The sequence below is a fragment of the Homo sapiens genome, chromosome 5 (genome assembly GCF_000001405.40).
Source record: "Homo sapiens chromosome 5, GRCh38.p14 Primary Assembly".
NCBI classification, from domain to species: Eukaryota; Metazoa; Chordata; class Mammalia; order Primates; family Hominidae; genus Homo; species Homo sapiens.
In genome coordinates this window covers 2734244-2760424 of record NC_000005.10, presented here as the reverse complement: position 1 = coordinate 2760424, position 26181 = coordinate 2734244, and the positions used below count along the sequence as shown (strand labels likewise).

Here is a 26181-nt window from a genome sequence, read left to right as displayed (position 1 = left end):
AATGTAAGAATTTATTTTACTAACTAAATATTATTTTAAATGTACATATCTATTTACCGAACCCTAAAATTTAACTTGCAAAACTGTTCTTGCTTTGTTCTTGGGAGCCTGTGCCACTGAAGAGTGCCATCAAATGATCTGGGTGGAGCCTGGGTGGTTCACCCGGGTCAGGTCTAGTGACGGCTCTTGGTGGGGCAGGGGGCCTGTGAGCAAGTGTTCCTGTCATTCTTGTTTATCTCCTTCATCACCCCGCCATGCCTTTTAGAAATAAAGATGAAAAACCAAGAGTGAGTCATTCATTCTTTCTCATATACGTTCATTTAATCAATGTTTGTCTAGTGCCCCCAACATGCCAGGCATGGAGTCAGGGGTTGGGCTGAGGCCAGAGAACCATCCCAACAGGAACCTGCAGCCCTGGCAGCTGCTGCCGCAGAGCTTTGGGAGCCTCCTGGGCCTCTGCTGACCTCCAAAGGGAGAAATAAATGCGAAGTTTACAGGAGGAAGCCACCTGGAGAGCCCCGGCCTGGCGGGGAGCCTGGCTGCAGGCAGAGAGACAAGGGCTGCAAACACATCACCTTCTAACTACTGACCAGGGCTGGAGTCCACAGGCCGAAGCAGCTCCACAGGGTGGTCAGGCATGTCAGCAGAGGGAGGGCTGGATTTGTGTCACTTTCCAGGAAGCAGTACCCTCCTCCCTGCCTAGTTCCAAGCACAGCGAGGAATAGAATCAAATATGCAGACCTCGTGTCTCAGTTCGTTTGCATTGCTATAAAGGAATACCTGAGACTGGTAATTTAACAAGAAAAAATGTTTATTTTGGTTCTTGGTTTTCAGGCTGTACAGGAAGTGTGGTGCCGGCGTCTGCTTCTGGCAAGGCCTCCAGAAGTTTCCAATCACAGCAGAAGGCAATGGGGGATCAGGCATGTCACAGGGCAACAGTGGGAACAAGAGAGAGAAGAGGGAGTCTCAGTTCTCCTGTGAACTCATGACCACTCATTACTGTGCCAAGCAGTTCATGAGGACTTTGCATCCATGGCCTCGACACCTCCCATGAGGTCCACCTCTAATACTGGAGGCCACTCTGCATCCATGACCTCGACACCTCCCATGAGGCCTGTCTCTAATACTGGAGGCCACATGTCAGCATGAGATTTGGAGGGAACACACATCCAAACACATCACCTTCTAACTACTGACCAAGGCCACCCCCGATGGCCTCCCACTGTGCTGGGGCTCTCAGCAGATTTGTATTTGCAAAGATCCAGCTTCTTCTGGCCACAGTGAAGAGAACTAGGCAGAACTGGTTGTTTCTGGAAGGAGCATACTGGCCAGAAAGGCCCTGTGTTCTACGCTGAGAATGAGAGGGGATGTGGAAGGGGAAAGGACCTGCTAGGAACCTGGAGTCCAGCCGAGCACTGAAGGCCAGCCTTCCCCTCTGCCTCCGACTGCCCTTTTCCTTTCCAGGCTATATTCTTTATACCACAAACACTCTGGAATGAGAAAATGTCAAATGGCATGTAGAAGCATGTCTTTTCCCGTAGACGCATGCGGGTGATGGCATGCAGCCACACTGTGCCCAGCACACCCAGGCTTGTCCTTTGCCTCCAGAGTGCACCCCTTCCTCTCATGCACCACCATGAGCAAAGTGGGAACCAGGCCCTGGGCTTGGAGAGGAAGTGGAGGGAGGGCCAGGGCTGGGACAGCCTCCACAGGATGCTCAGGACAGGGGCACAAAGACATACGTGCAAGTGGAATTCCCTTTAAGGCTAAATGGCAATTCCAAGACATGCTTGGATTTTTTAGAGGTGGGGGAATTGAGACGAGAAAAGAGACATTAAAAATAAAATATTCTAAGAAAGCTGTTTTATTTAAACGAATCCCAAATTAGCACATTATACTTCAGTGCATATGCCACTTTTATAAAAAGCTACTATTTAGTTTTAATTGTCAAAATATAAAATATTTCACATGATGAAAAAATAGAGTAACATAATCCCATGTAACCGGTATTCCAAGGTAAGAATTGTTAACATTTTGCTACAGTTACTTAAGATCTAGTTTTCGAAATAAAATATGACTAATAGCTTAAGTCCTCCTCCCATGCCCACTCTCCCTCTTTAAAGATTCCTCGGGCCTGAGATGCGTGGGAGACTTTTGTTCCCATGGTGACGCTGCAGCTCCTCCACCCCCACGCCTGTAGACACCACAAAATGTTGCTGTTTGTTTTTAAATTCCATTGTCAGCATCATCCTTCTGTATCCCCGCCCCCAAGGTTACACTTTTAGGAGGCACTCAAGTTGGTACAAGTAGAATGACTTCATCCCCTTTCGCCCCAGGGGACATTCTGTTCCCTGAAATATGCCACGAATTCTTTATCCAGGCCTGGAGTGGTGGCCGTGGAGGAGGCTTGCAGTCTTGCACTCCTGCAAACCATGCTCCAGGGCTGCCTCGTCCCCGCTTCCCCAACACCTGTGTGCTGGGTGCCAGGGAGCACGCACCTTCTGCGCTTTCAGATGCGGCCAAATGTCTCCCGAATTTCTCTATAGAAATTTAAGCTGCACCGCAGGGAGAGTTTGAACAGGGCACATCCTAGGCCTTTCTGGGTGCCATCGATTGGTGTGAAGAGGCATCTGCTGTTGTCTAGAGATAGACAACCAGTGAATGTGCGCATTCTCAGGCGTCTCCTCTGCGTGGAGGGCTGCCCCATCCCTGCCCCTTTATTTCCCTGGGTGCCTCGTCTTCACCCATTGGCAGTCAGAATTCCTCCTGGTGCTGTAGAACAGTCTCTGTTATTTACATGTGCGGCAAATATCTTCTCCCCCGTTGCGGTTAGCAGTTTATGTTTTGTCCAAGAGAAGTTTTTACTTTTAACACACTCAAATGTATCCATTTTTAAAATTTCTGCATTCCCAGCCATATTAAAAAATAAAAATAAAAAGCAAAGAAAGCAAAACCCAACCCTCCCCTCCCGCTGCCTATATACTCCAGGGGTGTAGGATCCTGCAGAAGGATTTGGGAAGGAGGAGTTCGGTGTGTGCCTGGCCATGTGCTGCCGAGCCCCTGGTCAGGGCTAGCAGTTTCGGGCACACACGCCGAATTTACAGTTGGCAAAGGGTATTCAACACGGCCTCAAGACAAACGCTCTTTAGAGCCTCGCTGGTTGGATTAAAATAATTGTAAAAACACTCGAGGAATTATTTTCTTTTCTCCAGTGTTTCTTGCGAGCGAGGAGTCCTATCTGCTTTCGTCGGGATGGAGCTGACCCCTGCACTCTTCGCAGCCTCCTGGGTGACCGCACACCCCGCGACCCGCACCCCGCACCCCCGCCGAGGCCAGCACCGAGGTGCGCTCTGGTGTTTAAACAGAAGATTGCAGAGCCACGGAGGAGCTGCTGGAGGGACGGAGGGTTGAGGGAGCTAAGTTCTGCTGAAGACTGTCTTGTAAAACACATTTAAAAGACAAAACAAAAACAAAACAAAGCCCTGACAACTCCACTTGACCAGAACAGCTTCAGCGAGACGCGCCGACCTCTCCGGGAAGCGCGAGCGCGCGCGTGTCTGCGTCTCTGTGCGGATCTGGGCCTGCCGTGCGCGTGTGTGCAAAGGTGAAACGGCGGCGGAGTTTCAAACATTTCATCTTCGAACCATCTCCTGTTGAGGAACTAAGGCTGCCAGGTCGTTGCTGATTTTGAAGAGGGTCTCTTTCAACTGCGATCCCTTTAAGGAACTCGGCTCTGTCCATTTCCAAGGAATGTCCCTTTTCCTCACTCTCCAGACGCTGCAGGCTCCCCGCGCTGCGCTCCCTCCCAGGCTGGAGCCGCAGCTGGCGGGACGCGCCGTTTCCACGGTATGCCGGGTGAGAGCCGCCCACGAGCGGCCCAGCGTGGCGGACCTCGGTCTTGAGCCGCGCGGACGCCTGGCCACGAGGGGCTCCCGACCCGGGCGGGGAGAGGTGCGACCTGGGGGGAGGGGGCGGGGCGCGTAGGAAGGAGGAGGAGAGAGAAAAGGGCGAAGCCAGCGCGAGATTAGGAAGGAGAGGAGGGTAGAGACGGAGTCGGCGAGATGCTGGAGAATTCAGGATTGTGGGCACCCTGAGCGGGAGAGAAACTTCAGGAAGCACGTCGGAGGCGGGGCATCTGTGGGAGGAAGGCAAATTTTGCAGAGCGCTAAAGGATGCCGGGAGGGACAAGTTAGCCATGGGGAGACCTCCCAGAAATCCGGAGCTGAAAACAGGGCAGTTAAGTAAGCAAGAGCTGGTTAGCTGAATACGAGGTCCCTAGAATGTAAATTATAAATAAGAAAGAAAGAAACGAAAGAAAAAGAAAAGAGCGCGCGCAGGGTCCCGGGTCCAGGCGCTCAGAGCAGCCCGTGCGGGGGCCCTCCCGGCCCACAGTAGCCGCCGCCCCGCGTCCCTGAAGTGGCGCCCGCGTGGCTACTCGGGGATCTCCCAGGCCTCGGGGGCCCATTTGAAAACCTCGAGAGGCCTTGCACATCCTGCCAGGACTGGAGCTGCGGGGACCTTTCAGTCTTCCACGGATGCTCCTCTGCACGTGTTTTCCAGGAAAACATTTAGGCCTCGGAAGCGTCTTTGAGAGCCTAGAAATGCCGGTTGAGCGTGAAATCCAGTCCAACCTACTCACAGAGTACTAGACCTAGAAACGACGTTTGAAAGAGATGTGGGTTCCATGTTGACTTAAATTTTGTTCCATTTATAACAACGCTTTTGTTTTCAAAGAAAAGAAAAATTTCTTAGCCAAACTTCTCATGTCCCCGGCCCCCTGTTCCTGCCTCGCTCTCTCCCTCGACAAACGCGGGGAGCCCTGGAACGGGAGGGCCGGTGACCGCGAATACGGTAGCGATGTGATTTGATGCACTGAAACTACTTACATTTCCAATGTTACTTCATTAAAGGAAACCCACATAAAAGCGTCTGTTTCATCTTAATTGCCAAAAAAGTTTGCCACACCCCCGAACGGTAACTGTTTCCCCGCCAGACACCGAAAGCTCATAAGGAACCACAATGAGAAAGGATCAGGAGTCGCTTAGGTTTTATTGAAATGCCTCGATGCCGTTTTTTCTTCTTCCCCGAATTAAGCCGCCGGGGGAGGAGGTGGGTCGCGCCCACCGTTGCCGGGACTCGGGCCGGCAGACACGGGCCACAGCGCCCCCTCGCCGCCCGCGCGCACGACTCCTGGCCTGCGTCGCCTCCTTCCGTCCCCGCGACACGGAGGACGGCGCCGCGCCCGGCGAGCGCCCCGGCCTTCTCAGTCGGCCGCGTCCCCGGGGAGACCCCGAGCCCGAGCCTCCGGGGCCGGCTGTTCCTCGCGCTCGGCCTCGCAGGAAATCCCCGCTCGCTGAAACTTGCGTGTCCACGTAGACTCGTTCTAAATTCTTTGGCTGTTGCAGGGACAATAAAGAAAAATAGAAACAGTGTTAATTTTTTCCCCACCTCCTAGGGCACACCTAGGAAAGGGGGCAGGGCCCACCAGGAACCTGAAACTGCCCCCATCGCCTGGGTTATTGTGACCAGGGGTCGCGTTTGCAAAGCAGTTACTGGGTTTTCCCTGCGTGCCTGCTCATTCCCTCCCTCCTGCTCGGACGGCAACTGAAAAGCCTCAGAAGCCAAGTGCCGGGCTCTCCCCAGCGACCCCACAGGCCTGAGCACCCCGCCTCGCCCTTGAGCAAAACATCCCAGGCCCTCCTCTTCGGGAGCCGCGGCCTTGCAGCCCTCGTGGCCCCGAGACGGAGTCTGGGCTGAGCCCGCCACCCTCTCAGGCAGCCTCGCCGGGACCGCCGCGCCAAGACTCCACGCTGGCAGCATGTTTTCTCATGATTGATTTTTTTTTTTTTTAAGAAGAAGACCAAGCCAACTTTAACTTAAGAAGAAGGAATGTGATTTTTTTCTTTAATATCAGAGAGCTTTAAAGCAAAACGTAGTTTATATATTTCAATAACAATGACGAGTGTTAAGTTTTTAATGTCCCTGCGTAGGCATTTTAATTTGCTACAGTCACTACCAATAAAAACGGCATGTAGTAAGAGTCGACTGTTTAATAGTGCAAGGTAGACGGTTTTTATTAGTAACAGGCAGCAGCGGTATGGAACATATAGATTTCAGTGGAGGAGTATAATTGCTAAGGGGAAAATACACACAGGACGGGAAGAGGCCATCTTCAAACTCCCAACACTGAGCTAAAGAGGGGGAAGGGCAGGCGGCGTTTCTGGAGATGCACCCTGGGTGAGGGGACCCTCCCCGCCACTGCACGTGTCTGGTTATATATTTAATTGATGTCAGAATCGACTGTATCCAGAGCAGACACTCCAGCTCCAAACTGAGGATGTTTGTATAATAACTGGCTGTTTTCTCTTCTGCCCCTGGCAGAGGTCCGGCGGGGGGAGGGGGGTGGGTCAAGGGAGGGGGAGGGAGGATGAGCCCCAAATGCTAATGAAACCACAGCGGGAACCGCTCTTTAGAAATGGAAATACTCCAGGCCAGTGCTCCCTGGTGATAAAAATTACACCCGATTTTTTTTTCATTTAAACTGATCTGATCGTAAAGGAACCCTAAAGGTTGCCATCTGATCTGACAGTGTTTGTGTTTGCCATCCAGCGTGTGGGCCTCTCATTTACCCCTCTTCTTGGAGGAATTCCCTCCCAGGAAGCGCAAAAATGTCGCAGACTGTCGACGGCTTGCCCAACCCGGCTGCTTTCTCTCTCTCTCTGTTTTTCAGCTCTATAGTAATTGATTAAAAATATCTGTCCTGGACTGAATTAGGATGTCCCATGTGGAGTCGCAACAAGGTTGAAACCCCCCGCTGGGTCGTTGCAGGGGGCCCAGCCTGTGGGAACGGGGTGTCTGTGGGTGGAGGGAGAGGTGGTCGTGGGTGTGTGTGCGTGTGCGTGTGTTGAGATGGCCTGAAGAGGATGTGTGCAGGATGGGGGTGTGGTTTGTAGGAAGAGTGGTGGGGGAGCAGTGTGGGCGAAGGGGTGGGTGGGATAACTGGTAGGGGGCGAGTGGCTCGGCTCGGGAGCTCCTGGCGGGAGGGGTAACGTGCCTGGACCGCGCCTACCGGGAGCCTGCCGGCTCAGGAGGAGCCATCCTCAAGCACAGCACTGCAGTTTGCAACTGGTTCCCTTGCACCTGGGGAAAGACAGCCTGATGCCGTGAGTGTTTCTCTTGCGCCCTGGACCAGACTGGCAACCCGGGCTCCGCTCCCTCCGCGCCGCTGCAGCCGCACCACAGGGAGGCCGCAACATGCCCTGCGTCCTGAGATCACTAAGGCTGCTCCGCAGGCTGCAGGGCCAGCAGGGGTGCAGGAGTCGGCTGCAGGCCTGAGCTGAGGCCCGCCCCAGGCCACTGCGCTCTCTCTTCTCCACCGCACCCACCCGAGACGGCTTCCGAGGATAGAGGCACCTGCTGGGTGGGTGCTCCCAATAGGCCAGCACAGACCTGACACTCTTCCATCCCCCTGAGCGCCCCCCATAGGTGACCCTTCGGAGTGGGCAGCCAGACGCCCTCTTCGGCCATCCCCGAGTGGAAAAGGGTTGGAGAAGCGTGATGGGGAGAGGGTTCTAGGAAGCTGGGGTCCTAGGAACCCTCGCCAACCGCCTCGCTTCTGAGCCCCGCAAGGCAACCGCCCCCCTACTCCAGCCGCGCGTCACCTGAGCTACCTGTAATGCCCACTGCACCGGCGGCGCCAACCTGAGCTCCTGCCCGTTCTCGACGTGACTGGGAGGCTTCAGGTCCTGCCAGAGGCGGTTTGTCAGGTAACAATCATCCCCCCAGTGTTTTGACAACACAAATCTGAAAGAGGAGTCAACTTAGAAAAACAAAATAAAATAAAACTCTTTAGGGGACGGCGTCTTCTTAGCTGAAGCCCTGGCGTCATTCCCAACAGTGGAAAGTCGTAACGTTCAGGGCCCCGGGGGTTGCGCTGCGGATTTGGGGGCAGAAAGCTCACCTCAGGGCCCTCCTGGCAATTCGCAACCAAGGCGCCCCGGATCCAGGTCCATGCTGGGCGGAGTGGACCGCGAGGGGTAGGCGACCAGACGCGAGGCCACGCGGGGAGCCTCGGGCCAGGAGGCAGAGCAGGTCCGGGACCGTGGAAGTGAGAGCCGCGCGCACTGCCCGGAGGAAGACCCGAGCCGCGGGCGCCACCATCCTGACCTCCCCACTTCCCTGCGACTTCCGGATTGGACACAGGGGCCGGGCCTCCTCGGGGTGCACAGCGGGGCAGGCTGTGAGTCCCCTAATTGGACCCGGCCTGGCCTGACCGCGGGCGGCCTCTGCCTAGTCCGTGAGGGTGGAGAAGGGGGTGGGGGCGGGGTAGTGGCTGGAAGGGGCGGGGGCCGGGCAGGGGCGAAGACGGTGGCCGGGGACGGTGGGAGCCGGCCGGAGCCGGGCAGGGGACGTGGCTCCGAGTGGATGGGAGTGGGAGGGGTGCGCGCCGGGGCACGCAGCGCGGCCGGGCTGGGCTGCAGGTCCGCGAGCCGCGGGCTGGGGCCGGAGCTGCTAGAGAGGCGGCTGCGCCACAAAAGCCTGCCGGTCCCTCCCGCCGCCCGCCTCCGTCGCCTCCGCCCTCCCCCGCCTCCCTCCCGTCTCTCTGCCCCTCCCCCGGCCGCGGCCCGGAGGCTGCAGCGGGCGGAGCAGGGGAGGGGCGGGCCCCCGAATATGCAGATGAGCGCGTGATGGACAGCTGCGCGTTCCAATGTCCCTCGGAAACTCGAGCGCTCCTTCCTCAACTCCTCACTCCCGACTCCAGACTCCCCCAAACCCCGACCGCCGGCCTGGCGCGCGGCTGCGCCCACCGGCTCCGCGCTGCTGCCGCCGCCACCGCCACCCCGCCGCCGCCCCGGCCCGCGGGCCGCCCAGGCTAGTACCCGGGCCGGCCTGCCTCCGCCGGCCGTCCGGGTGCCCGCCGCCGCGCCGCGCCCCGGCCGGGCGTGGATGGAGGGCGCCGCGCGCCCTGCCCGCTGCTCGGCGTGACGCGGGCCCCGCGCCCCGCGCCCACCATGTCCTACCCGCAGGGCTACCTGTACCAGGCGCCCGGCTCGCTGGCGCTCTACTCGTGCCCGGCCTACGGCGCGTCGGCTTTGGCGGCTCCGCGCAGCGAGGAGCTGGCGCGCTCGGCGTCGGGCTCGGCGTTCAGCCCCTACCCGGGCTCGGCGGCCTTCACGGCGCAGGCGGCCACCGGCTTCGGGAGCCCGCTGCAGTACTCGGCCGACGCCGCCGCCGCCGCCGCCGGCTTCCCGTCCTACATGGTAACCGGGCGCGGGCGGGACGCGGGACTCCTGGGCGCCGGGACCCAGACGGGGCTCAGGCGGAGCGGGGCTCGGGTTCGGCGGGCGGGGGCCGCCGGGAATGTGGCGCGGCTGGCGACTCAGGAGTCGCCGGCTCGGTTGGCCGCCCCGCAGGCTGAGCCGGGCCCCGGGTGGGGAGGGCAGCGCGGCAGGCGGGGACGTCCCTGAGCCCGGCCGGGACCCGCGCGCCCCCCGCGCGTCCCCTCGGCTCGCCGGCTGATTTTCTCTGAGAGCCTGGGAAGTGCGTCTCCGCCGGGGCCGGGGTCTGGCGCCGTTTGTCCCTGGTTTCCGCACCGCAGCCTGGGGAGGCGTTCGGAGCGGGCTGTGTGCTCGCCTGCATTGGCGTGGGGCGCGAGGGTCCGCGTCACTGCGGCCTCTGAGCCGACGGCCGGGCGGTTCGCATTCACTCGCGGGGCTCAGGGCGGTGGGGGTCACCGAGTTAGGCCCAGGAGCCGAGCATTCAGCTGCGGCTCCGGAGTCCGGCCCGAGGCGCCCAGGTTTCGGCCTTACTCTGTCCAGCGGACCATGCTTTCAAATATCGTGCTTGCGGGCGCGTGACCCGCTAAGGGCCGCCTGAGTCCTCCGTGGCCCGAGCGCAGCTCCTGCTCCGGCGACCTGGGGGCGGCTCGCGAGTCTCGAGGTTACTGAGCTGGGCCAGGCCCGGGCCGCGGCGAAGCACGTTACGGGCGATTGAGGCCATTACGGGGTTGTCGCGACTGCCGGCCCTCGGCGGAATTTCTGGGCAGCGACCGAGTCGCTGGGGCCTTGGCGAAGGCTGCAAATGCCTCGAATTTAAACGTTAAAGGATGAATTAAAATGCTAATTACGGCGTATTTGAAGAATTCGAAACGGTGACTGGCTTCTGAGTTGCAAATTGGATTTGCCCAGCTTTAGAGCAGTGAATAGTGAATTGGGGGCTCTGGGGTGTTTTTTTAACCATATAAGGGAGGGGAAGAGGGAGTAGGGGGAGGCAGCCGCACTCCAAGCATCTGCAGAAATTTAGATATCAAAGAGCTACCTGTGGGCCTGTGTGCGCGCACGTGCAAGGGTTTGTGTACATTGCCACGAGCGGCTCCGGAACACTTAGGGGAAGATGGGTCATTTTAGGAAAGTGAAATAGTTCAGAAATTCGAGAATAAAACTCCGGTACTTTTTGTGATCAACAGCTGGTCCCGAATCACACTGCGTTTTTCCTGCTCTTTTGCGGCGGGAAGCGCAGCCCCAGAGCCAGACTCACGGGGGGAACGGTGGCCGTGGGCGGGCGGAGGGGTGGCATCCTCTGGCTGGTTGCCCGCGGGGTCTCCGCATACTCCACTCACAGGCTCTTGTTGGTTCCAGGGCGCACCCTACGACGCGCACACCACCGGCATGACCGGCGCCATCAGCTACCACCCGTACGGCAGCGCGGCCTACCCGTACCAGCTCAACGACCCCGCGTACCGCAAGAACGCCACGCGGGACGCCACGGCCACTCTCAAGGCCTGGCTCAACGAGCACCGCAAGAACCCCTACCCCACCAAGGGCGAGAAGATCATGCTAGCCATCATCACCAAGATGACCCTCACCCAGGTCTCCACCTGGTTCGCCAACGCGCGCCGGCGCCTCAAGAAGGAGAACAAGATGACCTGGGCCCCGAGAAACAAAAGCGAAGATGAGGACGAGGACGAGGGCGACGCTACCAGAAGCAAGGACGAGAGTCCCGACAAGGCGCAGGAGGGCACGGAGACCTCGGCAGAGGACGAAGGTGAGCGGGCAGCGGCCGGCGCAAGGTCTCGGGGCGCTTTCTTCCCAGGCGGGGCGCAGAGCTAAGGCGGGGAGGACGTTGCCCGCCGGACACCCCAGGTCCGGGCCGGAGCCCCAGCCGCACCACATTGCCCTGGGGTCGCCGGGATTTGAGCGAGCGATTCCTCGGGCCCTTCCCGGGGAGGTCAGGCTCCGCCTGTCACGTGGCCGGGTGGGGGCGAGGTGAGGGGTCCCGTGGGGAGGGCCCAGTGCCGCAGGACAGGGGGCGGAGGGGGCTCCAGGTGCCTGCGCTGTCCCCTCGTGCCACCCACCGTGCCCGCGCCCCCACAGGGATCAGCCTGCACGTGGACTCGCTCACGGATCACTCGTGCTCGGCCGAGTCGGACGGGGAGAAGCTTCCGTGCCGCGCCGGGGACCCCCTGTGCGAATCGGGCTCGGAGTGCAAGGACAAGTATGACGACCTGGAGGACGACGAGGACGACGACGAGGAGGGCGAGCGGGGCCTGGCGCCGCCCAAGCCCGTGACCTCGTCGCCGCTTACCGGCTTGGAGGCGCCGCTGCTGAGCCCCCCGCCCGAGGCCGCGCCCCGCGGTGGCCGCAAGACGCCCCAGGGCAGCCGGACGTCTCCGGGCGCGCCGCCCCCCGCCAGCAAGCCCAAGCTGTGGTCGCTGGCCGAGATCGCCACGTCGGACCTCAAGCAGCCGAGCCTGGGCCCGGGCTGCGGGCCACCGGGGCTGCCCGCGGCCGCCGCGCCGGCCTCAACCGGGGCACCGCCAGGAGGCTCGCCCTACCCTGCCTCGCCGCTGCTGGGCCGCCCCCTCTACTACACGTCGCCCTTCTACGGCAACTACACAAACTACGGGAACTTGAACGCGGCGCTGCAGGGCCAGGGTCTCCTGCGGTACAACTCTGCGGCCGCGGCCCCCGGCGAGGCCCTGCACACCGCGCCAAAGGCGGCCAGCGACGCGGGCAAGGCGGGCGCGCACCCGCTCGAGTCCCACTACCGGTCCCCGGGCGGCGGCTACGAGCCCAAGAAAGGTAGGCGGCCCGCGGCCGGCGGCGCCCGGGAGGGGAGGGAGAGCCAGCCCCGGGGAGGCGGAGCGCCCGGGAGACCCGAGGGAGGGTCCGGGAAGAAGATCCAGGGGGCCACTCCTGGGACCCAGAATTAGCAGAGTGAGGGCGGAGGGCGAGATGGAAGCCAAAGAAGGTGTGGCCCTCTTTTTAGACTTGCCCTGTTATTATTTATTTTTACTTAATTTACTGTTATTTTGACTATTACTATCGTGGCTGTCTTAGTTTCGGCAAACCCAGATTGCCACGAAATTCAAATTACAGCGTGTCGCCCTAATGAGCCTGGGTGTGTTTCGGTGTCTTGTTAAGGAGTCAGAGTTGAATCCGCTTTTCTGCCGTTGGCTAGAGGCAAACAGAACGTTCCAGTTACTCTCAGAGGCGTTTTGTCTTCAAAAGATAAAATCAAATGTTTTTTCCGCTTTTTGTTGTTGTCGTTGTTCGGAAAGAAAACCGTTTTTTCCCCTGTGCTATGTTGCCTGTGTTGCTCCTAAGTCAGGCTACCCGAAAGAGGAGTTCAAGGGGGGAAGTTAAGAACTAGGGACCATCACCAAAAGTCGTCTCAGATAGCGGCCCTGGAGACAGTCGGTTTCCCAAACTGCTGTTTGCCTGGGAGTGGAGGATGGTGGGTGCACGGTGGTCTGCGCAGCCAGCAGGCTGTGGGGTCGGTTCTGACTAACTGCCCACTCCCCTGACAGATGCCAGCGAGGGCTGCACCGTGGTTGGCGGGGGCGTCCAGCCCTACCTATAGAAGGGCCGAGCACAGCAATGCAAGTAAGTGGGCACCCTGGTGCTTCCCAGACCCTGTGGAGCCTCCCAGCACCAACTTGCTTAATGTGTTTTTCTTGCTTCTGGTCATGGGGTTAGAAGACAGAGCATTTCAATCTTGTCCAGCTTTTCTTTCCTTAAGGGGGAAACTATATTTTCTGTTTTATAGATTCCCTCTTTTTGGCACAAGTTCTATCACTCCTTTACCTAGGGAAGGAAAAAAAAAATATATATATATATGTGTGTGTGTGTGTGTGTAATATATATATGTATATATATAGTACATGTATATATATAGTACATGTGTATATATATATTACACACTACTGTTGTTTTCTTTTGAAACAATAGATTATTAAAATCTGGGCATTTATATGCAATTTAGAGCCATTTTTACTATGCTAGACACATAATAGACACATGCTTTGATGAGCTTGGGCTACCAAAACTTGGAGTAGCAAAAACCTTTATAGATGATGTTTGCAAAATAAGACTGAAGAGACACGAGGCGTACTAGTCTTTTATCAGCCCTGTCCAACCTCCCCTCCACCCATGTCCAAGTGGACAGGACTCTGACATTCTCCCGGGGCTCACAACAGTATCTCAAAAAATATGTTGCTTTGCAACGAGTCAGAATTACTAATCATAGATCTTGAAGATAAGAAAGATTTGGAACCACTTCAGATCAACTCGTTTTTATAATGGTGTTGTTGTGGAACTGAAAGATTGGGGATGATTTGGTTTTTTCCTTGGTCCACAGGTAGGTGTCACAATTGCTTTGAAAAAAAAAAAAAAAAAAAAGTCAGCAGGCCATTCTCTCTTCCCAAGCTCATAAATTTACAGATACAACAAACAGATGTCTAAATCCAGACCACATCTTGTGCCACTGTAAAAGAGAAGGATCCACACAGCACTGTCAGCCCACAGACTCTAACAATTGGAACAGACTATTGTTGGACATATGTGAATTTGTTGGCATAGTATAGTTTCCCCGATGTATGTGTGACTTTTGAAAACAATCTGTTTTTCTCAGGATATCTTGAATTGATCACTTCATTGCCACGGTATATATTCTATAGGTGTGATAGGATTTACTGTAAAGTTTATTTGTAAAAGATGTACACAGTAGAAATAAAACGTGATGGAAGAACTTGAGTACTTCAGAAGTGGAAACAAATTTGATATTTATTTTTATAATGATATAAAGCTTCTAGTAATTTATGCAAGTTGTATTGCAATGGAATCTAAACTTTTTGTAAATAAATTCTGCCTGGTTTTTATTTGAACATTGCTGGTTATACAATCTTTGTTGGTTGTTTAACACGAATTCTTTACTAATTTATATCTTAAATTGTAAATAAAAACAGACTAGTCTACAATAATATGATGTTTGGGGCTTATTTTTCCTAGAAGAATGATTTGGGGTAGAGCGCTAGTGAATAACCTCCAGGTGATCTGACCTCACCTTTTTAATGAAAACCTGTGTGAAATAAACTCTCCTTTCTCTCCTGAGCATTGAAAAAAAAAAAAAAAGGCAGATGGAAGAGAAGTATATAATCGGGAGAAACATGTGCTGTAGATGATTTCTATACAGGTATTGCAAAAAAACCAAAAAACATAAGATTTTTGTGCCCTGAGTGTGCTAATTACTTGTTAGTGTAAATTTTTAAAACTTGGCAAAATAAAATGATCTGACACCCTATGCATTTTATATTTATTTCTGATGCTGGCTTCTTGAACCTCCTCAGTAAACCAAACTGGAGAATAATATTGATAATGGAGAGCCACACCCCCCCACCAATAAATTACTGATGGAAATAATTGTTTTTTTTAAAGGCTGAATTATCCAAATTGGCCTAATTATTCAAATTTATGGAAGGATTTCTTAACTGTCCTTTTCCTATAATGCACATTAAACCTCGGGTGAGGATCTGGGGGAGGGACTTACTTTCCTTTCAGTGGCTCTTACTCTTACCCTGGGGGAAAAGAAACCTTTAAACAACCTTAGACTACTGCCTCTTTATTGTGTTACTCACTTTCTAATTATAGGACAAGTCTAAAATTTGTAGTCAAGTAACATATCCCCTTTGATTAGTATCATAAAAGTAGCAAGCCTGTCACTTTAATTTTCAGCAAAATTATATGGATATCCATATAATATAATTTCAGAGAAGAAATGAACAATCATTTATTTCCTCTCGAAAGATAAATTGAGTGAATATAACTTACGGTTATAAAACAAGAATAATAGCTTCTTAGATTGCCCTTTAATCAATCATACACTTATTTTTCAAGAGGTTCATCTATTTTATTCCATGATTAATAATGTTGCAGCATGAGAGCATTATTGGATCCCAGCGGGGGAGGTCTGGGATGCTTTTAGCTGCTTTGGAATGGTCAGTTGGGGTTCATTATGGGCTGATATTGAACAATTTATAAAATCTTGTCTAAACATCTGCCAGCTCCGATAGGCCAATGTGTCTGAGGATGGGAAATTGCTGGACCAGTTGATATTGACAAACGGATCTCTCTCTAGTGGCTTTTTTTGCCATAGAAATTAGTGGCCTCTTGCTGGGGTCTTGTTAGAAAGGGTATTTGAAAGTAATCTTAGATACTTGAGGCCAAGCCAGGGGACTGTTAACTGGACACAGAGCCATACCGATGGGGAGAAGTGATTGTGGTTTGACTGTGGAGAAGGGGGGCAGAACCAGGTTTCTGTTTTCTGTTATTTCTTATGTATTTTGTTAGTTTTAAATATTGAAGCATTTGGAGGTCAGACATAAAGTAAATCTCTGTGGTGGAGAACTGTTTTTCTGTCTTCTCTGCCTCTCCTAGTAATAGATATGAGCGTGTGTGGAGCTGAGCTATCTATTGGCAGGAGGAAAGATTTTTCACATGGTAAGCTTTGCCACTCTGGCAGTGTATCTGGAAACAAACACATCTGAGGTCTGGAGGGTAAAAGGGGGATTGAGTATATTTGCTTGTTTTGGTTTTAGAAATAAAACCTTCATAGACTTTTCATAGAGATAATGATTTTCCCCTTCAGGAAGCGTTTTAGATTGTTGTCTGAAGGTCTTACGTAGCTTACTTTTATTAATATTACCCATATTTCCTAAATCAGCAGGAAATAAATTGCACATGGCAGCAATGTCTCTGCTATGTGTAATGTTATAACTAGAGTAATTGGAAGACTTCTGTGAAAAGTATGAAAGTTAACAATATTTAACAAAATAAACACGGAAAGATCATGCACTCTAATGAAGATACAACATTTAAGGCAGTACATTTCTTAAGTGTGAGAGTAGAAAAGCTAAGCCAAAATTAACCTTTGCGCTTATGTTCAGGCATTGGAGCAGGGGTAAAAGCCGCCTCCCTTTGGAATGAGGAAGATTGTTTTACCTGAACATGCGATCCCTGTTCCCTTTCAACACACACACACACACACACACACACACACACACACACACACACACGACTCCATTCTCTGGGAGGACATGCATATTTCAATTGGTGAAAACTCAAAGCAGCTCAGGAGATTAGCCAAGGCTAAGGAAGCTTCTTTGATGTTTATATGCCCAACAAATTATTAAAGATTTCCATAACTTACCCACTCTGTCTCCTGACCTGAATTTCCTTCTAGAGAACTTGATTTCTAAAATATACACTAAGAACCTAAAACCTGCAGGTGTTTAGAAGGATCTTTTTAAAGAAATGTAGAGTGATTTATGAGCTCCTCTCCATGCTGGTCATTGGAAAAGATGAACGAGGAAGGAAGGAGAGAGAAAGAGAGAGATATCTTTCACTGGAGAGGGAAGTTAATGGGGTCTGAATTTTATTTTTGCTTTAAAATTTTCATAGTCAAAAATTACCTAGCCCTCCAAGATAGAAGTTTGCTGTTGTTGACTGAGGCCGGGGAGACGTCGGCAAAACGGGGCGACCAGGAGCAGATGGGCTTTGGGGCGGTGGCCTTGGCTTTGCTGCGGGTGCAGGCCTGGGCGCGCTCCCGGCTCCGCGGCCCGGCGCCCGCGTGGTGGATCCGCGACAGCCCTTCTGCTCTCCGCGGCCCAGGGTTTCCTTAGAGCTGATTTATCGGAATTCGCGCTTTAATCTCAGGTGGGCCCCGGGGGCCGGGGGCTGCCGAGAGCACCGGGGCGCTTGCCCGGCGGCCGGCGCGGGCGCTGCCTCCCGCGCCCGTCAAATGTCAACATTTGTTCCCAATAAAAGAGTTATTGTTTCTGCAAAGCTGCCCAGCAACTGCCTTTGAAACTTGAAAAGAACTTCATCCACCTTTGTCTGATGCGAGGAAGGAGGGGCGGGGAGCGGAGAGAGGAAGGGGGCTGGGTGCTGGGGCCTAGAGGGGCAGCCTTGGGCCTGGGCTCAGGGTAGCCAGCCTGGGGTGCGCCTCCCCAGAACCCCCTCGCCGGGCCGCCGCGGATCTCATTCTGGAGTTGGGAGAGTGGTGGGAGAGGGCTCGGGGTTCCCCTGAGGCTCTCTTTAACTTATGTGTTTATTAGATCTCTGCGGATTCTGGGAGGCGAGAACCACTGCGAAGAAACACAAAGATGAAATAGCCACCTCCGAAGCCCGTGCGCGTTTTCGGATCATTTACAATTGCATTTAAGTACATATCAAGGAGGCTAAAAGTAAAGTGGACCCTTTGTTTTTTAACTACGGAGTGAATGTACATACTAAACTACCACTGTTACAGCCTAATTAAACAGACATCAATTTGGAAAAAAAAATTGTTCCAAACAAATTTGTGGTCCACTCAGAGGCATTTTCAAATTTCAATAACACTCTGAAGTGAATTATGAGAAAGTTTCATCCAAGTAACAATATACAATAATTATCACTATATAATTTTTCTTTAGTTGCCCAGTACCTTGAGAATCCCAAGGAAAACATTCATTTAGACTCAAAATTAAAATATAAATAGATATAATAAATATGTTTTAAACTGCTTTTACAAACATAACATTTTAACTATTTTTTTGAAAGCGTTAACCGAAGAGGCTATCTTGGGAACAATACACAACCGTCTGTGCTATGTGGATATTATGATTAACATCATTTGAATTTCTACAAATCGCAAGGGGGACATGTCCCTTTGATGTATTTTCAAACCTTTATGCAAGTGACAAATCCCTACAGATATTTTAAAGGCTAATTATAAGGAGAAGTAATCTATGACAATATAATTTTCCAGTTGCTGAAAATTACTATCTATTGGCCATAATGAAAGCACTCACTAGCCCTCCCCTTTGCTTGGGCTAGAATGCTACGAATCTGGTTTTCAACAATATGCACTTGGACCTCAGCCATTGATGGGTGGAAGAGAAAACACTTTGAGCCCCAGTTTTAGGAAGCAGACACCCCACTTGTATGCATCAGCCTCTCCCTTCAGCTGCATCCCTAGAAACAGATGGATGTGGCCTCAACCGGCACCTCTGTCCCCTCCACCCTTGGAACAGAGAATAGTCTTGTGTTTCCTACCGTGAAGGCAGAGTGTTCTCTCTCTTTCTAAGAAAGATAATAATTGAAGACACAATTTAAGAGGACTGTATTGCTAATACAATGAAGAAAGGAAATATCTGTTGTCCGTATTTGCGCAATCCCAGATAAAAGGAAAGAGGAAGAATTTTTTTTGTTTGTTTAACTCTGGCCCCATGATAATAAAAGTATTTTTAAAAGGTGTTCTAATGTTACTTTGTTCTATATGGAGCTGTAAATAAATGAAATGTAATATTCTTAAAGAATTGACTATGAGGTTTGGGGCTGCCTCCAATACGGACTCGATATTCACAGAAAATACCCAGAGGGAAGAAACAAAACACAATGCTACACAAGCACTCGCATTTTTGTGGGGAGATAAATTGACAATTTATTGTGTGTGACTCCTGATCAATTATTAATCGTTAGTGTCAACAGCACGGTTATAATTACCTTGGGTTATTTTAGGGAATTTTTTTTTCATTTATCTGATCTGGTAATTAGTTAATGCTCTTGAGTAATAAATTCAAAGAAGAGCTCATAAGAGTCAAGACTCACCCCTACACCTCTCCTCCTTTTTGGTGACCTTTAAGGAAAAATACATTCACCCAGTCGTTCTCAGAAATTCCCTCCTTGCCTCCATTCTAACAGTGGGCTTTTTTTTTTCCTGCTATAAATAATGATTCCAGAGGAAAAGGGGAAAATGACAAACAAATAGAGCACAGCTGGAATTAATAAGGCTGATCAAAGTTAGTGGGACTGAGACTGCTGGCAGCAGCCACAGGTCTGAGGCCCATAAAGGTGCCAGGAGTTCTTGCCTCTTCCCTCTAAGATCAAGAAAAAGGGCAAATCGAACGGTTTAACCCTTGACACCTTCTTACTGGGGAAAGGTGGGCTTCGGGGAGAACTTTTGTTTTTAGTCCTTACTAATAGCGGCGTTGCGGTCCGGCTCGGCCTGAGGCCGGGAAGGGCGCTGCGTGTTCGCCCAGAGCGAGTGCGGGTCCCGCGTGCACCCGGCTCTGCACCCAGCAAGGTGGGGCAGGACGCGGGTCCTCTTGGACCCTGAAAGGTTAGGAGGTGAGTGACCAGATTAGGTGGGGTCAAGGCAGCATCCTGGGGAGTCGGGGGGCTGCCGGCCGGGTGCTCAGTAAGCTCGGAGGGGGCGAGGAGGTCTCAGCTCCAAGACAGGCTCCTCAGTGCGTGCAAGGGGGACGGTGCACTGTCGCCGCTGTCGCCTTCCCAGTGCTGGAGACCCTGGGCCGAAGGTGCGGGAGCTGGAGGCGCTGGCCCGGCTGCCTGCCTGGTGCCCTGCCCGCGTTCTTCCCGGGGTTCCGGGCCACCTTCCACCCGGCCCACGTCCTTCCCCGCAGGCGCGTGCTCCCTGGGGAGTCTTGAGGGGCAGAAGCTGGCTCAAGCCCTTAAACGCCCACCCAGGGTTGGTTCCAGGCCTACGTGTTTTGCCTGAGCAGCTGCAATCATTTCTTCAGGGAACTGGGTTGCTCCCGGCTCTCCAGCCCCGGGACTGTCCGATTTGGGAAGGGCTCCTTCACCTCTAGGCCCATTTCTGCCCTGCAGTCTCCCCAAGCGCGGCGCTGCCGCTGAGTGTCTGCTTAGTTGGTCACACCGAGACCCTAAAAGGCAACGACCAAGGCCAGTCGGGAGAACCGAACAGTCGCAGGTCAGGGAACAGTCGCAGGAGAGGGGGTGAGCCGGCTCCTGACCTCAGCCCCGGTGTGACCGCTCGCCTTCTGCGGCCCCAAGGTGGTGGCTGGGAGCCCTGGGCCGAGGCGCACCTGGAAAAGGAGGCAGCGACGGCCAGGGAGGCCGCAGACCGAGACCCTGAAGTCAGCCTGATGGGCAGGACCCCCGCCCCCGCACGCCACGACTGCCCCGGCGGCCCCAGACCCGGCCGCCTGTTCATGAGTTTTCGACGCCGCTTTTGCGACCCGGTGCCCTGGAGGGGAAACCCAGTCGGGCCCTCCGAAGCCTCCTTATAGGGGAATGCAGCCAGGCTTCTGGGGATGGGTAGCCACCAACCGACCCAGAAGAACCCGCGAGGACCCCCGAGCTCCCACTGGAGGCCCCGCTCCTGGCACCCCCAGCTCTGGTCCCGGGCTTCAGTCCCCTTCCTGGTCCTACCCTATACCCCGCGCCTGAAGCCGCAGCGGGACCCATCGGGTTCCTCCCGCCCTGACCCCGGCCTCCCCCGACCTCTTGCCTCCCAGTCCCCCTGCTCCCGTGGTGGTCGGGACTCCTCCGTGGCTGGCCCCGGGTGCTCGCCTCGCTCCCTGGCCCTCAGCCTCAGGCCCGCAGCTCTGGACTCTGGGAACCGCGCGCGCAGGGTGAACAAAGCAGCGCCGCAGAGCGCCGGGAAACCGAAAGCGCCCGGCCCGGGTTCAGGACGATCGCGGGGTCCGGCGGCGACGGCGGCGGGGGTTCAGGGCCCCCGGGACCAGGGGAGGTGCCGAGCGCCCGGGTTCCTGCCACAGCCAGCCTTCCTCTCCTCCCCGGTCCCCCCGGTCTCTCCTGTTTCGGGTCCTGCCTGCACACCGTATTTCTGCTGCGCTCGGCGGCAGAGCTCGAAAGCCCCAGGCCGGCCTGCCCAGCGCTTTTCCACCGCTCTGGCGGCAGCGTTCGGTCGGCGCGAGCCGTGTAGCCCCGATCTGCGGCCCCAGCGCCCAGGCGGGCAGTGGACACCGACGGGACCCCAGGCCGTACCCCCGGCACCGCCGCCCCCAGGACCCGCACTGAGAACGACGTACGCGGCTGCCTTGCAGGCGACACCTCGGGGGACGCCCCTTGGGCGCACGGAGCGAGGGCCGGCGGGCTCGGGGTGGGTTGCCGCGGTGTCTGCACCGCTCCCCGCGGGCCCCTGGTCTGGGAAGTTTGTTCTCTTCTTCAGGGAGCTTATGCGACAAGCCGGATTTCACAGGCCCTACAAAGCGCGTTGAGTCCCCTCGAAGCTCTCGGCGCCACCAGAACCCGCTGGAGGGCTGCCTGGAGGTGGTGATGGATCCAAGGGGACACAGCGGAGTCAGCGGCCGGGATGGAGGCGACGGAGAGCACGTCTGGTCGCCTGAGTCCCATCCCACAGTAGGCCTACCCGGCAGCCTGGGGAGTCAGAAGAGGGTCTCCAGCCACAGCCATTACCTCGCTCCTTCCTCTCCCCGGCCTCGGCGTCCAGGCCCATTGGCTTCACCCTCCGCGACCTCTGGCGGCCCTGACTGGGGCTCTGGGAGCGGGTAGTTCAGGTGGAGGGTCTCTGGAGCCACACACCTGGCCTCCCGCAGGTGGGGAGACGGTCCCGGAGGCACAGGAGGAGGGAGGCCCAAGCGTGCGGCTGGGGGTGGTGAGGGTCAGATGGGGAGGGGTGGGTGCTTTGTAACCTTTGGGGTCCTGGGCCCTGTGATGAGCCCCATCCTTTCTGCCATTGGACTCGGGGTCACTGTACAGCCCTGGTGGAGAGAGGGTGAAGGCTTCCCTGGGAACAGCCCACTGAGCCCCAGAGGCCAGGGGACCAAAGAGGCGGCCGGGAGGACAACTCGGCCCAAGCGGGGAACAGGGGGGCGAATCAGGCTCCTTGGTACCCAGGATGACGTTAGTTTATTTAAATAGGAGGCCATGGCCCGTCCAGGTTTATTCTCCCTGGCTCTCAAGCAATGGAAAAACAATTTGTTTTATAATGCTAATGTAATACTCAACTCCTCAAATAAAAGTGCCCTTCATGATAATGGGCCCAGATATAAACAGAAGCGGCTGAGAGGGCCCAACCTGCTTCTTCCAGGCAGGCCTGTGACCGGGAGGGGGCTGAGTCCAAGCCCAGAGGAGAGAGACAGTTTGTTTAAAATTTCTATGGAGCTGGACTGTTTTATAAAGGAAGGGGCTGAGTTAAGGCATGCTTTGAAAGAAGACAAACAGACTTTGCAGGAGCTAGACCCTCAAATGAGTTATATTTTAAACAATTTACTGACTTTATGATCTTTAAGCAGAAGCAAATAACACATTCAGGTGCACAGCCGATGCACCCCAACTTTCCAGTGCAAACAAGGCCGGGAGGAGTGGGAGGAGACCTGTCAGCAGGCAGGACAGGTGGGCTGTGGGCTGCAGGGGGTGGGCAGGGGGACACCCCCAGGCCAGGGGTTCCCTTAACCTGGCTGTTACTTTGACGTCAGGAAAAGCCCCTGGTGAAAAACTTCTCTGGTGGGTGAAGATCAGTGATGGCCCGAAATCATCTCGGTGTTCTGAAGCCTAGGAAAGCTGTTGGCCTGGCACCGGGGCCACTTCCTACAAGAACTGGCAGCCTCAGGCGGAATGTTTGAGGGCAGGTAATGACTACTACGGGTAGACATGAGATGGAGTACGATGGGTGAACACCCAGGCATGGTCCACAGCCCTGTCTTTGGACAGTTGCCCTACAGGACAGGCAGGAGATGGGGCTGGGGAAGTGGGTGCTCACCATCGACTCCTGTGATCTTGGTGGAGAGGACAGCACTCGAGACCTGCTAGTGGGGCTCATCTGAGTGGGCCAAATGACTGCCCCTGAAAGCCCATCTCTTCCATGTGCCACCGGGCCCCACGTAGCAGGCTCTGCAGAGGGCTTCTTGTTAGTTAGATGAAGCCAAGGAAGGCCAGCGGGCACAGAAACATGTCCAGGGTCTGCCTGTCTCCGCCCTCTGTCCTCGCCAGTCCTGTCACTTCTCTGAACCTCTGAACACTGAGCTCTTTCCTTTCTCAGCTGACCTGAACAGACTGATCCGTCTGCCTGGAAGATTCTTCTAACTCAGCTGGAGAATGGCTGCTCAATAATGCAGGTATTTTTCTGTATTTACTTGTCACTTGCTACCCACGTGGATGTTAAAGTGACCAGGAGCCACACCTGAGGCCTCTCGTGAATGAACGGAGCTACTTCTGTGTCAGGTTTTGGGGTTCCACAGGCATGAGCAGGCCATGGGTCAGGCTGGTTCTGGCATGGCTGTGGTCGGCCCACTTCCACAGACCACCACCGCATGCTGTCCATCTATCCACCGGAGATGGCCGCAGTGGGGACCAGGACAAGAGGACAAATGAGGCCCTGTGTGTCTGAACACTGACCACTTGTAAATCAGCTGCTAGATACAATGTGCTTATACACAACATGCTTATCCTCCTGCCTTGGAAAATACGTTTTCAAATGAGAGAAATCACAAAATATGTGCAAAGCATGATTTGCATGGAAGTCATCAACATATCAAAAGAGGACCAGATTTAATGATTCTTATGTACGTCTGGCATTCTATTCTGAGGGGGTAGCAATGTTAGGATTTGCAAAAAAATACAGACAGAATAATTCATAAAGTACATATTTATCCTATGAAATATTTTGCCTTTAAAAAAATAGAATCACTCCATATCCTGTAGCAATCAAGATTTTCACATAATTTGTGTTTTGACAATAGTGGTTCAAAAATTAAAAAGTGATCCTTCTCAAAGCATACATTTAAATATATCTTCATCAAAAATTGATAGCAAATCAAATGTAAGAAATAAAAATAACTAAATTATTTGTGATTTTCCAAAAAAATTTTTCTTCTAGCATATTCAAAGCTTTCTATTAAAATTTAAAGACACAATGCACACTATAACTTATCCATAAAAAGTTTTCATTAAAAAGTTTCATTATGAAGCTGAATTGTTTTAATTCTAAAAATTTAATCCCTGAGATGAAAGAGGTCTCAGAAATCGCATCAGAAGGGGCCAGGGTAGTGGGAAGGGCATACATTTGGGAGATCCCAGGTGTGAACTCAGGGCTGGAGTGCTTCACCAGGGCCCAGTGGAGGGCAAGGCTGCAGGCATCCCTGCTGAACCTCATCCTCCCACCTGCACACATCACCTACCCGAGGGCTGTTGGGAAGAGTAAATGCCAAGGTGTGACACAGGGGCTTGGGGGAAGACTGGGATGTTGGTTTCAACTGCACTAGATGTTAGGAACCCATGGCGTGGGCTGATAGGGTAAGAAGGTCAGTTCAGATGGGAGGAGGCCAAGGAGCATGGCAAGACCTCAGAGCTGCCCCACAGGGAAAAGGGCCACGTGGAGAAGGGCACAGAGTGGAATTTTTTTCTTCCTTGAGGTTAATAGTTCCAATTTCTACTTCATTTTAACCTCGGTGCAGCACAACTAGACTCAGAGGTAGCTTTTGCTACAGTCTGGGCTTCTGAGTTCTGAGTTCAAATCTCAGACAATTTACCAAGCTCCACTAGTTGCTGGTGAGCATCTTATCAGCAGTTCACCAGGATCATGGGGCCTGGCATTCAGCTCAATTCTCAGTTTCCTTCTAACTTCACACCCAGGATGCCAGACTCTGCTTACATCATATAGAAAATAAAACATATTAGCATGTGTTTATACATGTTGTATGTTTGATTTTTTAAAAAATATTTTGTTAGAGAAGTTATGGGTTTAGAGAAAAATGCATAGCAAATGTCATGTTCCCAGATAACCTGACACTCAGGTTTTCCCATTATTCACATCTTGCATTAGTGTGCACTTGTTACAATTGATAAACCAATATTGACACATTATGATTAACTATATCCATGGTTTATATTAGGGTTCACTCTTTGTGTTGTACTTTCTATGGGTTTTCATTTTGTGTAGCACAAAAACAGATCCCTTCCTAATTTCAGAAGTACACCTTAGATATCTGAGACAAATAAAAAGTACAATAGAAGTACAATGCAATAAAACCAGAAATGACATATAAATACTCAAACATGAACATATAAGTATATGTAAAGTACGGAGTTGCTAAATACAAGACAACCAGTCACATTTAACTTTTGTTGGTTATCTGAAATCCAAATTTGACTAGGCATTCTTAATTTTCATTTACCAAAATCTAGAAAACTTAATATTGATGAAACATATTGAAAAATATTTGCCAAGTGAGACTTTTCTTTATGCATAGCTTGGAGCTCTGGAGTGCAGTAGGGGGAAGCTGGGTCAGAATTCACATAACTAAACTCACACATCCGAACATCTTTTATGGATGGAGATGAAGGGTTACACAGCCTTTGTTCATCCAGAATCACCCTATGGTAACATACAAAGTAGAGAAACTTTGTCTTTCAGCACAGGAATCCCAATATTGATTTCAACATTTCTCTTCGCTTGGTGGACTTCCCAAGCCTTCCCGTTCTTTCCTTTCTCTAAGAAAGCCTGTTCTTGAATCATGTACTCTTCTAATGAATAAGTAAATGCTACCATTTAAACATGATCATTTTAGCTCAGCATGGATTTACTGACAGTCAGCATGTGTGCCACTCACCGTTCACATTCGGTGCCTTCATGTCTCAAGCCAGGGTCCTTAAGCCTGGTTGGACATTTGGGCCACCGGGAAGCAGATTGGAGCTCAGTGGGCTTGGAGTGGACCCAGGAATTGGTACTTTTTTTTTTTTTCTAAAAGTTGACGAACCAAGGCTGAGAAAATAAGAAATAAAATCCTCCAGGTGAAAATTTAGGCAGCATTCTGGCAGCCAGGCAAAATGAGGTGGAACTTGGTCCTTCCCAGCATCCTTGGAACAGTCTCTTCCCATGGCAGGAGGCAGATCTAGAATACAATGCCTCACTCACTCTTGAAATGGACTCCAGACTTTTTCATATAACCCTGAGGTCTCCTTGACTTACGAGGATGCAAGATTCATAGTCCAGGGAGAATTGCTAGGTTTGCACTGACCTGAAATAAACACAGCATATATTTGTGGACTCACTCCAAGCAGCCTCTCCAACTGAGAGGATGTTTTTAAGTGTTCACAGATAGAAAAGGGGAGAGACAAT

General features: G+C 52.9%; 1 protein-coding gene and 1 long non-coding RNA gene across 8 annotated transcripts, besides 6 other annotated features; one reads left to right on the top strand and one right to left on the bottom strand.

Moving 5' to 3' along the window:
* Positions 315–504: a silencer, noted in NCBI's record as "fragment chr5:2760035-2760224 (GRCh37/hg19 assembly coordinates)". NCBI's record gives its function as "represses an EF-1alpha promoter that drives an FKBP-Casp9 reporter gene in an ReSE screen in phorbol 12-myristate 13-acetate-treated (for megakaryocytic differentiation) K562 erythroleukemia cells {active_cell/tissue: K562(+PMA)}" and the evidence as "EXISTENCE:reporter gene assay evidence [ECO:0000049][PMID:32094911]".
* On the bottom strand, positions 1847–8532 carry IRX2-DT (IRX2 divergent transcript). 2 transcript variants are annotated; one of them, NR_122125.2, is made up of 4 exons: positions 7961–8532; positions 7671–7745; positions 7055–7140; positions 1847–5396 (listed from the first exon to the last, which is right to left on the bottom strand). It is a non-coding gene; the product is annotated as an IRX2 divergent transcript (long non-coding RNA). The 2 variants fall into 2 exon arrangements; NR_122126.2 differs by having other exon boundaries at positions 7070–7140.
* Positions 1918–2868: an enhancer, noted in NCBI's record as "H3K4me1 hESC enhancer chr5:2757671-2758621 (GRCh37/hg19 assembly coordinates)". NCBI's record gives its function as "activates a minimal SCP1, AML or CMV promoter by ChIP-STARR-seq in primed H9 embryonic stem cells {active_cell/tissue: H9 hESC(primed)}" and the evidence as "EXISTENCE:reporter gene assay evidence [ECO:0000049][PMID:30033119]".
* Positions 2869–3821: an enhancer, noted in NCBI's record as "H3K4me1 hESC enhancer chr5:2756718-2757670 (GRCh37/hg19 assembly coordinates)". NCBI's record gives its function as "activates a minimal SCP1, AML or CMV promoter by ChIP-STARR-seq in primed H9 embryonic stem cells {active_cell/tissue: H9 hESC(primed)}" and the evidence as "EXISTENCE:reporter gene assay evidence [ECO:0000049][PMID:30033119]".
* Positions 7709–8633: an enhancer, noted in NCBI's record as "H3K27ac-H3K4me1 hESC enhancer chr5:2751906-2752830 (GRCh37/hg19 assembly coordinates)". NCBI's record gives its function as "activates a minimal SCP1, AML or CMV promoter by ChIP-STARR-seq in naive and primed H9 embryonic stem cells {active_cell/tissue: H9 hESC(naive and primed)}" and the evidence as "EXISTENCE:reporter gene assay evidence [ECO:0000049][PMID:30033119]".
* IRX2 (iroquois homeobox 2) lies at positions 8748–24790 on the top strand. Of its 6 annotated transcripts, none has more exons than XM_011513979.3 (5): positions 8748–9260; positions 10638–11043; positions 11373–12080; positions 12809–12884; positions 17393–18572. In XM_011513979.3, the coding sequence occupies exons 1-4, from the start codon at positions 9012–9014 to the stop codon at positions 12859–12861; spliced, it is 1416 nt and encodes a 471-aa protein (XP_011512281.1). In that variant the 5' UTR covers positions 8748–9011; the 3' UTR covers positions 12862–12884; positions 17393–18572. The 6 variants fall into 6 exon arrangements, 4 of the variants coding, with proteins under 4 accessions (XP_011512281.1, NP_001127694.1, NP_150366.1 ...); NM_001134222.2 differs by lacking the exon at positions 17393–18572 and adding an exon at positions 13639–14580; NM_033267.5 differs by lacking the exon at positions 17393–18572 and having other exon boundaries at positions 12809–14260.
* Positions 10719–11663: an enhancer, noted in NCBI's record as "H3K27ac-H3K4me1 hESC enhancer chr5:2748876-2749820 (GRCh37/hg19 assembly coordinates)". NCBI's record gives its function as "activates a minimal SCP1, AML or CMV promoter by ChIP-STARR-seq in naive and primed H9 embryonic stem cells {active_cell/tissue: H9 hESC(naive and primed)}" and the evidence as "EXISTENCE:reporter gene assay evidence [ECO:0000049][PMID:30033119]".
* Positions 11664–12609: an enhancer, noted in NCBI's record as "H3K27ac-H3K4me1 hESC enhancer chr5:2747930-2748875 (GRCh37/hg19 assembly coordinates)". NCBI's record gives its function as "activates a minimal SCP1, AML or CMV promoter by ChIP-STARR-seq in primed H9 embryonic stem cells {active_cell/tissue: H9 hESC(primed)}" and the evidence as "EXISTENCE:reporter gene assay evidence [ECO:0000049][PMID:30033119]".
* Positions 24791–26181: the final 1391 nt, after the last annotated feature.